General features: G+C 41.7%; 1 protein-coding gene across 12 annotated transcripts in view; it reads right to left on the reverse strand.

Annotated features, from left to right (window-relative positions):
• The window catches only part of TIAM1 (TIAM Rac1 associated GEF 1), a 440670-nt gene that overhangs the window by 150438 nt on the left and 271221 nt on the right, over positions 1-19011 (reverse strand). For 11 of the 12 annotated variants that reach the window (NM_001353690.1, NM_003253.3, NM_001353688.1 and 8 more), the window contains one exon: positions 7877-8053. The exons of the other annotated variant lie outside the window; for it this stretch is intronic. The gene's annotated coding sequence lies outside the window, so the exon portion shown is untranslated. The remainder of the gene's footprint in view (positions 1-7876; positions 8054-19011) is intronic. 12 annotated transcript variants of the gene reach the window in all.

Consider the following 19011-nt stretch of genomic DNA (forward strand, 5'->3'; position numbering starts at 1 on the left):
GGAGTTCTTTATTTTTTTAAAGTACATATTAAGATACCTGGATGTGCCTATGTAACTATATGTTTTGCCAATAAATAAAGACTTAGAACCAATGTTAGTCACAGCCCCATTTTAAGACTCACATAGGTTTAAATTTAAAAGAGGAAAGAACTATGAGGAAATAAATTGAGTAAAAGGCAAAACTGTCGCCTCAAATATGCTAAGATTTACCCTCCTCTAGCACATATATCAAAAGTTTGCAAACATAAATTGACACATATATTTTCAACAACAGCTTTCTGGTAAGGCTTGTTTCTGCCAACAGAAAACTCATCAAGTTAAAAGCCTCAGGAGAGGTTTCCTGAAGGAAATGGCCCCAACCTTCAAGAATTACCGCACTACATGCATCACGCTGATGGGTCTGTTATATTAATAGCATTTTTAGTAGCAAGATTCTTTTCAGCTGGCCAAGGTAGGAAAGAAGCCACTTTTATCTTCAGAACTAGAATGTAGAGAGGAATGCCAAATCTCCTAAATCCTACTAAGAGAAACTCTCAGGGGATGGCCTAAGGAGAGTGAGCAGGAAGTTTGAAGCAACTGAAGTTAAGAAAAATAAGTTTCTAGGGATTGCTGAAACACCCTTCAATTTGAAAGCTGTTCCTGAGAGGTTAATAAGAACGATGAAAGCCCATGTGGGATCAGCGGAGGACTCTGAAATAACATCAGCGTGAAAAGTTGAAATTGCTCATTGCATACAGGAGACACAATCTCCACTTCAGGGACAACCCCTGCCCCACTGGCAACCCCCAGAAAGTTGGTGAACTTTAAGTTTGTTTGTTTTTTTTTTTTTTTTTTGAGACGGAGTCTTGCTCTGTCGCCCCGGCTGGAGTGCAGTGGCACGATCTTGGCTCACTGCAAGCTCCACCTCCCAGGTTCACGCCATTCTCCTGCCTCAGCCTCCCGAGTAGCTGGGACTACAGGCGCCCGCCACCACGCCTGGCTAATTTTTTGTATTTTTATTAGAGACAGGGTTTCACTATGTTAGCCAGGATGGTCTCAATCTCCTGACCTTGTGATCTGCCCACCTAGGCCTCCCAAAGTGCTGGGATTACAGGCGTGAGCCACCACGCCCGGCCGATGAATTTTAAGTTTTACCCTTTCCATGTACAAATGTAAAATGCCAGCTACTTCCATCATCTTAATTTCTTCCTATTCAATCTTACTTAACCCTTTTTATTTTTATCTTCAACAAACAAAACCTGATTTGCATTTTATATTTGTGTGGGTTTTGTTGTTCCTGTAGCCCAAAGAAAGCAAATTCAGAGCAGAAATTAACTTTTACTTTTTTTACGGCTTCCACAAGACTAGAAATATTCCACGCACGATAAAGCATCAGTAAATATCGGTGCATTTTAGTAACAAAAGCAAAAAGTGAAGGACCAGCACCTCACTAACATCATCACACAGTCACTAGGTAGGAGAGAGAATATTTGGGACAAGGAGGACAGGCTGAAATGCAAAAATTGGGATTGACATTGAAAAGGTGGATGCCAGAAAACTGGTACTAGATCTCAAGCTTGGAAACACTACCAGTTTTAAATTCATTAAACTCTTAATTTCAGACTATGATTTACTTATATAGAATGTTAGTGGTCCCACATAGCTCTCATGTTTAGGGACTAGGTAGGAGGGAGGGAGGACAAGCTTTTAGCCTAAGAACAACTCTCCATATTCAAACCTCAAGTCTGGCTTCTCGTGCTTTTCTTTCTTTCCAATCTTCTAAGTCAAGCTTGTCCAACCCATAGCCCACAGGCCACATGGATGGCTTTGAATGCAGCCCAACACAAATTCATACACTTTCTTAAAACACTATGAGATTTTTTTGCAATTTTGGTTTTTTTGGCTCATCCGTTATCGTTAGTGTTAGTGTATCTTATGTGTGGCCCAAGACAATTCTTCTTCTTCCAATGTGGCCCAGGGAAGCCAAAAGATTGGACATCCCTGTTCTAAGTTCTGGCTTCCTTAGCCTGCCTCAGGGCCTGTGCCTGTCCCTCTGCCTAGAACGCTCTGCCTTTCCGCCTACTCCACCAAGTTCCTTCAGACCTTCAATCAAATGTCCCCTGGTCAAGGAGGCCTTTCCTGACCCCTCCTCCATCTAAAATGACAACCAGTGCTGCAGCACTCAACATTTCTTACCCCTCTTCTTTTGCTTTGCCTTCACATTGATCATAATTGTAACCAACATATATTTCACTTACTGGTCTTTCTTATTCTCTATCCTTTCCCACTAGAGCCTAAGCTTCAGGAGGGCTGGAAGTGTCTTGTTTCCTGCTGTATCCTCATTGCCTAGAACCCAGCCTGAAAGGTTGTAGGTGGTCCATTAAAAAAAACACCAAAAACCCAAAAGAAAAAAAAAAATACTGGAATGAATGAATGACAAAGACACTTTAATCTAAGATGTGAAAACTCATACAACTACAATGCAACATAGGTGAGAACATGACCACAATGCTAATGAGACACAGCACACATCAGTCTTAAATACGCTAGCCTCTTCTCTCAGGATGCCTGGAAGAAACTTCCCAATCAGCTCTCTGCTCTCTGGGTCCCTTCCACCTGCAGGTCTGTGTCAGTCCCTTACTCTGGACCACTGGGTTGAAGGTCATCCTGATCCATGAACTTAGGGGTGAGGGTGTTCAGCTTGTGCTCCAGTGTGTTCCCCTCCCCACCCCCAATTCTTCCTGGGGAAAGAATTAAGGGCTTGCACCTGTCTAATTCCACTGAATTCTTGCCTCCAGTTCCTATCTTCCTCTTCCTTTTGGAGCTGCAGTGCAGAGGTTCAGGAATGAGGTTAAGAGTTGAGAGGGCAAGTGTAGAACTGCTCAGGCCTAGGACGATCCAGAGAAAGTGAGAGCAAAGGAGTCTTAGTGGCATGATGGGCAAGAGTGTCATCTGAAAGTGGTATGGGGTCAAAGCATCAGGAGTTCCTGGGGGAGTGCTCAGGGCCAGGGATCAAAGACAATAGGATGAGTGTGATTTTTCTTTTCTTACCAACACCATGATCCCTCTCTTAAAGTGATAAGTTAAACTTTTCAATAAGTAATCACCTTAAGGGCCTTTAAATCCCACCAAATTAAATGCAGATGCTCCTCCATTTATGATGGGGTCATGTCCTCATAAACCCATTGTAAGGTGAAAATATCCTAAGTCAAAAATTCATTTAATACACCTAACCTACCAAACATCATAGCTCAGCACAGCTTACCCTAAATGGCTCAGAACACTTACATTAGCCTACAGCTGAGCAAAATCATCTGACACAAAGCGTATTTTAAGTATTGAATGTTTGTTGAATATTTATTTATAATAAGTGTTGAATATTTCATGTAACTTACTGAATACTGTGCTGAAAGTGAAAAACAAAATGATTGTATGTGTACCACCGTAAAGTTAAAAAAACACAAGTCAAACCACCCTAAGTTGGGGACTGTCTATACATAGTAAAGGAATTAAAAGGTATTTTAAGAAACTTTATCAATATACACAAATACTTATTAGTTAGGGTGGTTCATATATATATATCAGGTAGGTGGTCATTTCTCAGGGGCTGCTTTTATAGATTTATTAGGCTACTAAGCCTTTTGTAAAAAAAAAAAAAAAAGATATAGAACTATACACATATATTGAAACAATGTCAAATTCCTGGCTTTAGTATTTTACTATAATCATGTAAGATGCAACCATTAGAAAAAACTAGGTGATGGTTACATTTCCTGCATACAATTTCCTGTGAATCATAATTATTTTGAAATAAAAAGTTGAACAAACAAAACGAGCCTTAACTAACTAACTGAATATTCTAATGAAACTGTAGTTTAAAGTAAGGGTTCTTCCAAAAGAAATATAGTTGAATCCCCTTTTATTTTTAGCTGAAAAGCATCTAGAATATTCTAACATAATTTCAATGAATTAGGCAACAACAACAACAAAAAAGCAAGCATTTAGCATCATCTGGCAAAATGTGATCAGAAAGTACAAAGCAAACAGAACAGTGGTCCAAAATGAGGTTAAATAAAGAGGTGATGTTGATTATAGGATAAAGCTTCTGTCTTAATAAACTAGTGAAAAAAAAATAAGTTGTTAATATCTGGTGCCAGCAAGTTGGAGTAAACCAACTAAGGCCTATCTTGCCCCAGCTAATGACAACTAAAAACTCTGGACCAAAAAGTAAACAAAAGCAAACAAATAAAAAAATAAAATAAAAAAAGATCAAAACCTGAGGATGCCACCCATTTAAGGGTGAGTTTCCTATTTTGTTTTTGTTGTCCTAATTTCTCACCCAGCCTTATACCAAGGGTGAGTACGGCTCCAGTGAAGCTATGGCACAGGCAACAAAAACTCTGGATCAGACCTTGTTGTTCCACCCAGAGGAATCAAGAATGGTCCCTGTAAGCCAGAGAGAGTGTGGAGATCTTAGAGAAAAGAGAACTGGAAAAGAACATCCCATAATGGTGTGTATAAATCTGCACAAGTGACAGGCTCACTCCTCAGATGCACATGCCTAGGACTGACCCAAAGCAAGATAGCAAAAGCTTTGAGAACTGAATCATGACATAAACCACAGCCCAACCCTCAGACTAACCCCTGAGTGGCACAAAAACGGGACAAACTCAAAGCAGTATACCAAAGGCTTTGAAAACTGAACTGACATTAGAGCCTCCACCCACGGAGGTGAGACAGCACTTACAATCTGAACCAAGTCAGGTTGACTGCCTGCAAAATAACAACAAGGAAAAATCAATATTCTCCAGATGATGTAACAATACCTGGAGTATCACAACATAATATTCAAAATGCCCACAATGCATTCCAAAGAACCAGGAAAATTTAATTAGCTCTCAGGGGTAAGTACAATCAATAGATGCCAATCCCAAGGTTGCCCAGATGTTGGAATTATCACACAAAGACTTTTAAAGCAACTATTACAAGTGTGCTTCCTGAGTAAATGTAAACACCCTTGAAATTAATGAGAAACTTAACTGCTTGCAATGCCTGTGCAAGATCATTATGAACATCAATGATGATATTAATACATGAGTAAATGCTGGGCATGGTGGCTCATGCCTGATCCCAGCACTCTGGGGGGCCGAGGTAGTTGGATCACTTGAGGTCAGGAGTTCGAGACCAGCCTGGCCAACATGGCAAAAACCCATCTCTACAAAAATACAAAAATTAGCCAGGCATGGTACACACCTGTAATCCCAGCTCTACTTGGGAGGCTGGGGCAGGAGAATCACTTGAACCCAGGAGGCAGAGGCTGCAGTGAGCCAAGATCGTGCCACTGCACTCCAGCCTGGGAAATAGTGCGAGACTCCTTCTCAAAAAAAAAAGTACATGAGTAAACAAACAGAACACACATAAAAAAGAAAGGTCAACCCTATATGACCCAAGATACAGCACGTACCTTGCATTTTTAAACCACCTGTACTGCATAAGAAAATATTCCAGTTAATAGAAAGCCACCCTGTGTTCAAAGTCCTGGGCATAAAGAACATAGAAAAATATTTCCACAACCACAGATTGTTGAGGGAAAACAGGAAAGAAAAAGACACAAAGGAATCTGGAAACAACTTCATCACCTTGAGAACTAAGGAGGTTATAATAATATTTTTATGGTTTAGGATGTCTAATGCCCTCAATTACACCAGCGGTTCCAGTGGTGCTCCTAGCAGACAGCAGGACAGGATGCCTCACCCCCTAGCTGAAGAACAGGAAACTTCCACATGAACAATGCCCAGCCCTGTGGGTCAGCTGGCCAGGGCTTGCCCCGTGTGGGAGTAAATAATCCAAAAGGTGATTCTACCACTGGGGTCAAACATCTCTAGTGCAAAATTCTTCTCATCTTCCAGAATTAAAATCTGAGATTTGAGATGCACGTTCAACATACAGACCTTGAGACAGCTAAAAATTTTCTCCAAGAATATTAAGATGTGGCTGGGGGCGGTGGCTCACACCTGTAATCCCAGCACTTTGAGAGGCTGAGGCAGGTGGATCACTTGAGGTCACGAGTTTGAGACTAGTCTGGCCAGTATGGTGAAACCCTATCTCTACTAAAAACTACAAAAATCAGCTGGGTGTGGTGGGGGCGGGGGGCAGGGGTGCCTGTAATCCCAGCTACTCGGGAGGCTGAGGCACGAGAATCTCTTGAACCCTGGAGGCGGAGACTGCAGTGAGCCGAGATTGCACCATTGCACTCCAGCCTGGGTGACAGAGCAAAATGCTGTCTCAAGTTAAAAAAAAAAAAAAAGAATATTAATATGTAAATATTTCACATGCATATACACATGATAAATCTGCGTAAGAATTTTAAAAAGCAATTATTCCGGATGGATTGCTTGTAGGGCGTTTTAATTTTCACAATTATACCTTTTTTTGGTATTTTCTAATGTTTTTATAGTAAATACGTAATTCACTTTAAGGAAAGTAAAATAAATAGAACATGCCAACAGGTTTTTAAGTCACCGAATTTTTTTTTACAGTTGAAGAGAGTAAGGATGTGGGCACTATGCTGACAGCTACAACAAAACGGCATCAAACCCAAACTCTAAAACAGATGGCCTGGAAAAATTACCTAAGATGAAGAAAATACTACCTAGCTTGGACTTATTCTACTTTTTCGCTATATTTCAATGGCACACTGACCTCCTCTCATTGTATCTATGGCAGCGTTATTTGTACACTGGCACATTTGTCTTGTTTTTAAGTACCCTCTTCTCATTTTATTATAAAATCTCAATGGCAGAAACCATCTCTTACTTGTGATGGTAACCTAAATATACGGAAGTTTTCGTCTAGCTCTTCTGAGTGGGAATGTTCAACACCGACATTGCCTTATAACAAGGGCACTTCAAATACATAAAACCTTAGATCTCACTGGTGGGTCCATGATCATCCAATTCATATCATATTCAAGTTAACTGTGAAAGCAAGGTTTCTCTGTCGTTGGGAAGGACATTGTGAAATCTGACCATAAGGCATTTAATGATGTAAGTTATAATGATTAATAATATAAATTTTCACTCCCCTGAGGTATTTAAAAACTTATTAAAATAAACGTAATCATTACCCTTCTATGACTTGAAAACAGGCCTCCAAAACTGCAGGAGAAAGGATGAAATGTATTTATTTCTAAGTTAAATTTGAAGCGAAATCACAAGACAACAGATTGCAAATGTAAAATTAGATTCTAGTGGGAGGTCTTGGTTTCAAGCCTGTTTTTTCCCTACTGGAGGCTGAGCTTGAAGACGGTGTTGGGGGGTGGGGGTGAGGGAGAGCTAAGATTAAATTGAGACGAAGTTCTGAAAGTTTTCGCTAAATCGTTACAACCCATGAAAAGAGTTTTGCCAAGTCACACACAAATACCCTGAACACCAGAGACTAAGCAGGAAAGTTTTGCAACAAATATAAGATGATCTTTGATTTTGAAAAGATTATTATTTTGACTGTGTTTATTTTTACTTTTCAAAGATTATCCAAAGCAGAAACAAAACATATCATTGTTTTCAAGTCAGATTTTGAAGCTCGGGTTTGCCTTTTTCAAACATAATCCGATATAAAGATGGTGAAGCCCAGGGATAAATTTACGAGATCCTGAGGGCAATTCACAGCGGAGAAAGGATTTCATAGGCACCTACTTTGTCTTTTCTGTTTTGTTTTAACGCTAATGCTTTCGAATTGTCAGATAGGTGTAACCCTAATCCAAGGAAGTGATTCCAAATTCTTTTTCCCACGAGCTACACACAACAATGATAGTAAAACGTATCTGTCCCACCACCTTTGAAGCATTTCCATTAATTCATACAAACATATAGGCTCAAATATACATATGCAAACCTACCTTAAAAGGCAACAGTGGTCCCCAGCCCAACTTGCTCCAAGAGCACTGTGGCATTTAGATATTGAGGTTGGAAATGATGTCCGGATGAACAGCCACAGGGCTGGGGACGATGTCAGCACCTGCCCCCTGCGGTGGCCATCACAGTTTCATCTAAGTCTGTGAGAATGCGCCAAAAACCTGGAGAGGAGCAGGTCAGAGGAGATAGAAAAACAGAAAGAAAAGGATGAGGCAGAAGGAAGGAAATGGGCATTTTCTGTCAAACCCATTTCGTCAATTCCATGACGTCAACTTTTTGTGAAATACTGTCAGAGACGTTTGAACCACAGCAACTCCATCTTAAATAGGAGCTGGGTACAATGAGGCTGAAACCTACTGGTCTGCATTCCCAGATGCTTAAGGCATTCTAACTCACGGGATGAGGCAGGAGGTCAGCACAAGATACAGGTCATAAAGACTTTGCTGATAAAACAGATTGCAGTAAAGAAGTCCGCTAAAACCCACCAAAACCAAGATCGTGACAAGAGTGACCTCTGGTCATCCTCACTGCTACACTCCCACCAGCACCATGATAGTTTACAATGCCATGGCAATGTCAGGAAATTACCTTATATGGTCTAGAAAGGGGAGGCATGGGCTGGGCGTGGTGGCTCATGCCTGTAATCCCAGCACTTTGGGAGGCCAAGGCAGGCGGATCACCTGAGGTCAGGAGTTCAAGACCAGCCTGGCCAACATGGTGAAACCCCATCTTTACTAAAATACAAAAATTACCCAGGCATGATGGTAGGTGCTTGTAATCCCAGATACTCAGGAGGCTGTGGCGGGAGAATCGCTGGAACCCGGGAGGTGGAGGTTGCAGTGAGCCAAGATCACACCTTTGCACTCCAGCCTGGGAGGCATGAATAATCCACCCCGTTTAGCATATCATCAAGAAATAACCATGAAAATGGGCAACCAGCAACCCTCGGGGCTGCTCTGTCTATGGAGTAGCCATTCTTTTATTCCTTCACTTTCTTAATAAACTTGCTTTCACTTTATAGACTCTCCCTGAATTCTTTCTTGTGCGAGATCCAAGAACCCTCTCTTAGAGTCTGGATCGGGACCTCTTTCCTGTAACAATATGACATCCCAAATCAAATGATGCAACATTTGGATACAGGCATAAAATGACAGGCTTAAATCAGATAAATAAATAAATACACACCAGCCTATTTACATTTAGGGTAATACATAGCCCTACAGACTAAGTTATCTTATTATTTTAATCTATCTGTGTATATTAAGGTGTTGGACAACAGAAACAGGTTACTACAGAATGATTCCCATGTCCCACTCAATCTTCAGAGTCTCAAGAAACAGAAATGAAAGGAAACCAGCAACCCTCAGTTATTCTCAAAGTAGTGCTGTATTTATAACAAACATTGAAGAAAATGCTGAAAGAGAGTAAAACAGAAGCCCAAATCACTTACATAGAACTTTCCATTGTATACACGTTTTCTTACGAAGGCAAACATCAAATTCAGAGAAAATGCATGAAGAATATGCACAGGAAAAAATTTAGGTAAAAGATCCAAACTGCAATTTAACATGGAAAATCAATGGACAAGAGCTCCAGGAACACGTGGGGTTAATGGGGTTGTTTTATTTCCTTCATCTTTTTAAAGCCTGCTGGTAGAGGTGAAATTACAAATACTAAGGCAAGCAAAAGAAAGGCCTGAAGGGCCTCTTTGGGTGGCTTCATTTTGGTACTTTCTTCCCAGACATTCCCCTGGGGCTGCCCGCTGCTGGTGGTTTCAGCAGGTGGGAACCTGAGATGACAAACACTTTGAGCAGGAATATGAAGAAAACTGCCTATTTTGTGGAAAGGAGCCACATACAGGCAGTAAATAAATATATACGTCTATCCAGAATGGAACAATAAGCAAAGACAGTTCTTCCTTATCTTGGAAAATATGCTATTTAACCATGAAGTTAGTGACTCATGCTTGCAGGGAAAGGAGCACGAGTTCTCAGCAATACCCCATTATTACCCCACAATATATTCCCTTTCCACAATTCCCCCATTGCTACCCGGTTGGCTCCCTTTCCCTGGGCATCCTCCTTAAACGGCTCTCTGCGAATTTCCGAATTTCCAAAGCAGTTCCTGAATTGCTTAGGAACTGGCAGAAATTAATAAGCAATAGCCCATTTATGCTGAAATGGACTCATTACGGTGCCAGCTGCCAATAATTTGCAAGGCTGGATTCTTCCTGGCAAAGGAGGCCGGCAGGCGGCTGTCCTTCCACCTGCACAACGGAGGCTGATAATGCATTTTCTATACTTTAAAAAAATTACGTATTCAGATAGAATAAAATTTTTTCTCTATCTATATTCTTCTAGTCCCTGAACAAAAAAATATATAAATAAATAAATAAACAAAAAAAAACTATACAGAGAGAAAGGGCATTATTTGAAAAACACGAAGGAAAGCAAAACGGAGTCGATTTGGTATAACTTCTTTCTGACTTTCGTGGGGAAAAAATTTGCCTATGACCCTGGTTGCGGAACTGATCCATGACATGGACTAATGAAGAGCTCCACAATCAGCAGATATGCTAAGGTCACAATGTGCCAACAAGTACGTATCCATTTCCCTTACAGCAGGTTAATTGTCTCATGGCCTTGTGAATGGATGCCACCATGGCAATTTGGGAACTATCAGTACTCTGGGTTTTCTCCAAGAGCTGCAAAGAACTCAGTTTCACTGGGAGACAGCTACGTACCAAGCTCAGTGTTGGGAGTCCAAGCTGGGAGTCGGGCTGCACGCATCCGGTCATATCTTGGCTTTGCAAGTCAAATCTTTACTTTCAGCGTGACTTGGGGCAAACTCTAAATGTCCTATCCCTCTAACAGGTGGGGATGATAAGATTCCTAAATCATTGGGTTGTCATGAGCATTAAATGAGATCATCTATGTTACAGAATTTGCCTCGTGCCTATCCCATTATCGTTTCTCAATAAATGTTACCCTATCTCAGGATCGGTTCTCAATAAACATTAGCTATTATTTCCACTACTATTTAAAATGTTTAAACCATAAAGAATGTGCTACAGAATGGGCCAGTATTATGCAGGCTTCCTTAGCAAAATGATACCTAATTCATTGAAACTGAATCATATGTTATAAATTGAATGACATCAGTCACCTTAAATTTGCTGTGGAACAAGGAGAGTTAACTAATCCAGCTAGAAGATGCATGCGGTCTACTCAATCGGCTACAGCTCACACAGACACACAGACACACACAGACACACACGCGTGCGCGCACACACACACACACAGCCATACTGATGAAATCCAGCAGTACCAGTAGGCCTGCTTACATTATGTTAAGATGACTCCTAGGGAAGCGAATGCTGAAATTACCAAGTTTTTCAGTCTCACTCTGAGGCATCCTTGATATGGTTTGGCAGTGCCCCCACCCAAATCTCATCTTGAATTGTAACTCCCACATTCCCACGTGTCATGGGAGGGACCCAGTGAAACGTAGTTGAATCATGGAGGTGGGTCTTTCTTGTGCTGTTCTCCCAATTGGTGAGTAAGTCTCATGAGAGCTGATGGTTTTAAAAAGAGGAGTTTCCCTGCACGAGCTCTCTCTTTGCCTACGGCCATCCAGGTAAGATGTGACTTTCTCCTCCCTGCCTTCCTCCTTGATTGTGAGGCATCCCCAGCCACGTGGAACTGTGAGTCCAATTAAACCTCTTTCTTTTGTAAATTGCCCAGTCTGGGGTATGTGTTTATCAGCAGGATGAAAATGGACTAATACAATCCTCAATTCATATGGCCAATTTCTGTGTCATGTGTCAAATAAGCAGTTTTCACAGGAAAATGTGTGTACTGGAAGTATTACCAAAACTAATCTCAGGCTTCAAATACCCGCAAAAATTGATGGGGCTGAGAAGTCCCACTGCTCCACTCCTGTAATATTATTTAAGATGAAAATACGGTGTCAGAAATACTGTGTCCACAGCATTTAATCCTTGGCTTTTCCAAAAATGTCTGCCAAACCAGAACTTTCTTTTTCACCTTCAAAGTGTCAAAGACACTTGGGGGTGGGGGGGCAGGGGACAGACACAGTGGCTCATGCCTGTAACCATAGTGCTTTGGGAGGTTGAGGTGGGAGGATGGCTTGAGGACAGGAGTTCAAGACCAGCCTGGGCAAAACAGTGAGACACCCACCTCTACAAAAAATAAAAAAAATTAGCTGGGTGTGGTGGCGTATGTGTACTCCCAGCTACTTGGGAGGCTGAGGTCAGAGGATCCCTTGAGCCCAGGAGTTTGAGGTTATAGCCTGGGCAACAAAGTGAGACCCTAACTCAAAAAAAAAAAAAAAAAAAAAAACAACGACAAAAAAACACACTCATAAGGGAAATTCTGTCATTTTTAAGTCCTTGCAAGTTCCAGGCATCAGTGTGTAGAGAAAAGGATACTGTATTGTATTTGCCCTCAAAATACCCAGGTTCAATTCAGGTGCTATTACTTCATAAATAAAGTGACTTTTGGATAGTAAATTACCCATTCTGAAAACCATCAGAAAAAATGAGGACGTAAATATTATTTGTCTTATCAATACTTACCTCTAATACCTTTTCTTATAGGAAAGAAATTAGATAATCAACATGTAACACTATAAACTATAAAATTTATGTAAGTATGGAAATTCTTACTGTGTTTACTACGATTTAGTGTCCCCAAATTTTCCATAACCAGTAGTTTAATGACAATCAGGAGGTTTTCCTTTACATTGAGCTTAAACAGTGGGGGCAGAAGTCTTGGATCAAAATCCTAAACATGTATTTCATATGCAATAAGCACCAACAGCCTTTAGCTTTTAACAGTCATACTTAGACCCCAAATCAGTACTGACAGATAAATAGGTGGATGGTAGATGGGTAGATGAATGGACAGATAAGTGGATGGATGGATGGATGGATGGATGGATAGATGGACAGACGGTGATGGATAATAGATATATGGATGAATGGTAGATGGATGGATGGGTGGTGGATGGAGATAGAGATATGGATGAATGGTAGATGGGTGGATGGATGGATAGAGTGATAGTGGATGGTGAATGGATAATTGATGGGTGGTAGGTGGATAGATGGATGGTAGATGGGCAGATGGATGGATGTAGATGGATGGATCTAGCACATTAGAAAATTTTAAGTGGCTCAGAAATTAAAGAAGTTTCATCACTTTTTAAACTGTTACTTAAGAAAAAACTTGGGAATGACTTCTAAGGATACACAATTTAAAAAGTAATAGGAGGAATGAGGGTAACCATGAATATCCTGTTGAGCTACACATCTAGCTCCATTTAACAGTAAGCTTTATAACAGCCAAGTCAAATAGGAAAAACATGGCAGTTGTAAATTTCACAATGTCCAAATCGATGGCTCAAAGGAAGCACAAAAGTTCTTGGTTCTTGGTACTCGGATCAAACAGGCATCTCCACTGGTGTTCCTCTGAGGCCACTGTGATATGATGAGCAATGCTCTAGACCTCATCCTTCCACGGAGGCTCAGTGACAAATTTCATAGGAATGTTTCTTGTCTTGAAAATTATTTTTTTAAAAACCGCAATTCAGCAGCAAGCAGCCGTCTTGAAGACGCAGGATACTGCTGCAGAGTGGACAGACAGTGTTCCTTCCAGGAAATTCTTCTTGAGCACTGCCTGCCCTCCACGGAGTGCAGAAGCATGACTGAGTGGGGGTGACCTTGAGATGGACTCTCTGGCTCACAGCTGATTGTAGCTGGGACATGCTGACAGATGACCACACCCCATCTGGTGTAAAGCCACTGTTTTCACCAAGGGTGTGTCTGTCTGGCTTCTGTGAAAGCTGAGATAGCAATAAGGATTCATGCACAAAGCTTCCTACCTTCCCACTGACGGCCCTGGGGCAGGGCCAGGACTCCCAGTGAAAAACCAATCCCTCCGAACAGATGAATGAGCCATGATAAGGGCCCCAAGTTCCTACTCCATAAAGCATGAATGAAATAGTTTTAGCCCCACCATATTTCAAAGGCAGGTATAAAAAGACACCCAAATCAGAAAATTATTAAAAAGTCCCCAGAACTTTCCATATCCACAGACTGCCCTAGTTTTGGGCAATGTTACTTCCTAATGTATCCAAATATATCCTAAATAAACTAAGCAAGAGAACAGATTCATACAATCAATATGTTTAAGTCAACCACAAGTTGGGAACTATCTAAAATCATAACTTTAATTTTAGAGCGGTAAATCTTTGACAATACTTAATCAACAGGTTCAGCCAGGACAGACATTACCATATTTCTTAGAAGTAAAGTCGGTACATTTCAAAGTGAAGTTACTATGTATGTCAACTTAGGGCGAGCTACCATTTATGGAAAGCTTACTATCTGGCTGGCACTGTGTTCATGGCATCAGGCCAAAGTGCTCTTTAGACTTCCCCTAAGTTCTTGGTGTTTATCACCTTGCAACTACACCTTTGACTGACAGCTGCCAACATACTGCAACACTGACACCACATCACTTCCTGCAAAGCTTCCTCCCAACAGGGTTTAGAAGCCACCAGACCCCCAAGGGCTGTGTTACATGGCCAGTGTCCAAATCTCCCAAATATTCATACAGCCTGACTCTAGGAATGGTTCAAATGAGGCCCCAGCTCGCTGAAATGGATGTAATAACTTTCTCAGGACACACCATGAGAATCATGTGCTTTCTCCAAAATCCAAGCAGCATCTCTTTTCCCATTTCTTTCTTTCTTTCTTTTCTTTCCCTTTTTTATTTATTTATTTATTTATTTTTGAGATGAAGTGTTGCTCTGTCGCCCAGGCTGGAGTGCAGTGGCATGATCTCTGCTCACTGCAACCTCTGCCTCCGGGATTCAAGCAATTCTCCTGCCTCAGCCTCCCAAGTAGTTGGGACTACAAGCGCACATCATGCCCAGTTAATTTTTGTATTTTTAGTAGAAACGGAGTTTCATCATATTGGTCAGGCTGGTCTCAAACTCCTGACCTCAGGTGATCCACCCTCCTTGGCTTCCCAAAGTGCTGAGATTACAGGCATGAGTCACCGCGCCCATCCCCTTTTCCCATTTCTTAAAGCCGCAAAGCTACTGAACACTTGGGAATTCCACCCAACACTCCAAGAGTAGTTTCCATGGAATGCTAGAACACAGCTTTGGGCTCGCTCTTGGCTCCTAAATTCCAAGTTTCAGTCACATCAAAAAAGCACGCTTACATCGTAAGGCAGGGTAGAACATTTGATCCCCAAAGAAAATAGAAATGGAGCTGAATGTCATTAACTTCTAATGCTTAGATCTGTCCTTTGCTATTTCACCACACTGTGGCTTAACGTACAGGGTGTTCCCTGTGAGAGAACTAGGTAATCTAAGCTCGTGCAAGAAGACAGTGGGAGAGGACAGTATTCATTCTCAGTGTTTTCATACCTCCTATGAAACATAAGAGAGTAATAATCCTTAAACCGCACACCAAAATAATCGCCTCAAGAACATATCAACACCTTGGTTTAGAAGAGATGTCAAAATCAAATCACTTTATCCAACAACTCATTTTCCAAAATTGAGCCACCCTTAGGTCTCTTCCCTTGGACAGAGCTGCCTCCCACTCCCATGTAAGTTGTAGAAGCTGCAACAGGCACAGGAGGAAGCCACACTTCCTAGGACACACAGCAGGGGGGGTGGAGGGTAAACAGAGCTCCTCTTTCACTGTCAAAGACTGAAGTTCCAGGAAAGGAATTTTTTTATTTTTTATTTTTTTGAGATGGAGTCTCGCTCTGTCACCCAGGCTGGAGTGCAGTGGTGCGATCTTGGCTCACCGCAACCTCCACCTCTCAAGTTCAAGTGATTCTCTTGCCTCAACCTCCCGAGTAGCTGGGACTACAGGCATGTGCCACCACACCCGGCTAATTTTTTTTTGTATTTTTTTTAGTAGTGATGGGGTTTCACCAAGTTAGCCAGGCTGGTCTTGAACTCCTGACCTCAAGTGATCAGCCCACTTTGGCTTCCCAAAGTGAGGAATTTGGTTCTAATTCTCTGTTTTCCAAGCCTGAAGTTCAGCCTTGAGCCAGCCTGGAGACAAGGGAGTCTCCATTCCAAGGGACATGGCCCAACATGGGAAGTCAGGGAAAAAGGCACCGCAAGGGACTCTCAGACTCAGCAGCTTCTGTCTACCTCCAAGACATTCTCCAGACCTGCCCCAGTGACCCAAAAGCACGAAAGTGCAACCTGCAATTTCCCTGATGGCCTCTGACCCCTACAGCCTGGCTTCCCCTAACCTGTTCCCTTACCATGCAGCCAAGAGGAAAGTCTTTCAGCCAAAAATACAGTCAGGATATCAAGAGGTCCCCTTCCTTCATCAGGAAGCAGAACAGGATGTGGTCATCAGCTATGATTTCATTCCCCAAGCCACCCCCCCAAGCCAATTCCCAACCCATAGCTGCCTTCGCACACAGAGGGGTGTGGCCACTCTGGAATCAGGGAAGAGCTTGTGGGGGGGGCGGTGAGGCCATGAACTCAAGAGGCCAGGGTGGCAACTAAGCCTGTTGGCAACAAGGGCTGGGACTGCCTGCATCCAGACAACAGAGAAGATAATCCCAAGCACTGCTGGAAAGGTCACGGGGATGGGGTGTGAAAATCTGCCTTGTTGTCCCTGGATGCTTTGAGCCTAAAGGGCCCATCCAAAAAGAATCACTCCCCCCATGGACTTGCTGCTTTCACCTTGGGGCTGTCTCTGCTGCTGTTGCACTTGTGTTGACGGCATGAAATTCTTTTAACAGAACATGGTTAAAGAGAGATTTCACGCCAGGCATGGTGGCTCACATCTGTAATCCCAGCACTTTGGGGGGCCAAGGTGGGTGGATAACTTGAGGTCAGGAGTTAAGAGTCCAGCCTGTCCAACATGGTGAAACCCTGTCTCTACTAAAAATACAAAAATTAGCTGAGTGTGGTGGCCCACACCTGTAATCTCAGCTACTCGGGAGGCTGAGGCAGGAGAATCGCTTGAACCCAGGAGGTGGAGGCTGCAGTGAGCGAAGATCACACCATTGCACTCCAGCCTGGGCACAGAGTGAGATTCCGTCTCAACAAATAAATTAATTAATTAATCAATTAATTAAAATAAAAGAGAGAGTTCAGTCTTCCAGATAATGAGAAAGCTTTTAAGGCTATGACATTGTAAGTGGAGAGGAAGAAAGAGAATCTAGAAATATTAAGTATGTAAGTGTGTGTATATCATTGATCAGCAACTTAATTTAATAACTAAAAGGTATTGGGCAAGTATGATAGTTGGGAAATAAGAGTTTCCATATGTAAAAAGTGAAATTGTAATAGGATCCTGTGTTGCACCATTGCTAGGGGGATATTATGAATATCATCAACCTTGATATGTGTTTAGGTAGCATAACCTAACAGAAGGATTTTAATCAAAGACTAAATAAACATCGCAGTGCAGCAAAGAATATTGCATTTTAAAGTTAATGATTTAAAAAAATATTTAAAGGGTCCAGGCACAGTGAGTGGCTCATGCCTGTAATCCTAGCATGTTGGGAGGCTGAGGCAGGAGGACGACTTGGGCCCAGGAGTTCGAGACCAGTCTGGGCAACATGGTAAGACCTCATGTCTATTTCTTTAAAATAAAAATATTTAAAGGACTGGGCTTGGTGGCTCATGCCTGCAATCTTAGCACTTTGGGAAGCCGAAACAGGAAGATCACTTGAGCTCAGAAGTTCAAGACCAGCCTGGGAAACACAGTAAGACATCATCTGTAAAAGCAATTAAAAAAAAAAATTAGTCAGGTGTGGTGGCATGCACCTGTAGTCCCAGCTACTGGGATGGCTTGCCCGGGAGGATCACTTAAGCCCAGGAGATCAAGGCTGCAATGAGCTGTGGCTGTGCCATGGTACTCCACCCTAGGCAACAGAGAGAGATCCTGTCTCAACAAATTGTGTGTGTGTGTGCATTTATTTATTTAAAGAAATTCTTCCCACAGATTTTCAAAATACAGATGATTCTTTTGAAAGAGAAGAACTGAGGTTGAAACTTGAGGACTTTGTCAGAGGTACCACAAGACAGAGTGACGTAACCATGGTCAAAAGGCCTTGAGTCCCAAGTCACTCCCTGGGCACTTGGTCCCAAATTCTCCTTTAGTCACTCCTCATTTTAAAATGGAAAAAAAAAATGACCTTAAGTTTTTATTTGCAAATCATTTCAAGTTGTTTCACAGTTATACAATTAAGACTACAAGCTCTAACATGTAAAAACATAATTCTTTATTTCATTGATTTTAAGAAACACTATTTTTGACTCTTAACATCTTTGAAATTGAATATATCTTACAATCACAATGGTGTATTGGGGTTTAGTGGTGCCATTTTCTCTGCTTCTTAGTGGTATGCAAAATAGTGGTGCATTTTACAAATGACAGCATCTTATGAAAAAGAGTATATAAAAATAGGCTTCTAAATAGCTACGCTTAGGGCTATCTAAAAACTGCTTATGAATTGTTTGGGTAAGACAGAGTATCTATGTAGAATTTTACTGATGATCACACATTCAGTTCAACTCAACCAACATTTTACTGGGCACCTGTTATATGTTTGGAATGAGGAAATAGACCATTTCTTTATGATGCATATAATCTGGGAAGACAGTGGGCATCTACCCACTCAGACAGGGCTGTAACAGCTAGTCTGGCATTATTAATAGTGAAGGATGTGAAGAAATAGACTAATTCTGCTAGGAGAGGCTCTCGGTTGAACCTGGTCCTGACAGGTTAATAGGATTTGGCTTAGCTTAGGAGGATGAGAGGAAATGAACAGGGATAGGAGAGAGTTTACACAAAGAGAAGGACAGAAATTTCCAGTAAAAGAGAAGGGTATAAGCAAAGACTCTGAGGAATGAAAGTATCATTAGCCCAATGTTGCAGTGAGGCGAGTGCATGGGAAAAAGCTGGAGATGATGAAGCTAAAAAGATGGGCTGGGGCTATGGATGCTACACAAAGGAACTGAACATGATTGTATTTGATGGGATTACACGATGAGATTTTATTATGGGAGTTACATGATCAAACATAGTTTTCCCACCTGGGTA

This window comes from Homo sapiens, chromosome 21, assembly GCF_000001405.40.
Source record: "Homo sapiens chromosome 21, GRCh38.p14 Primary Assembly".
In the NCBI taxonomy this organism is placed as follows: domain Eukaryota; kingdom Metazoa; phylum Chordata; class Mammalia; order Primates; family Hominidae; genus Homo; species Homo sapiens.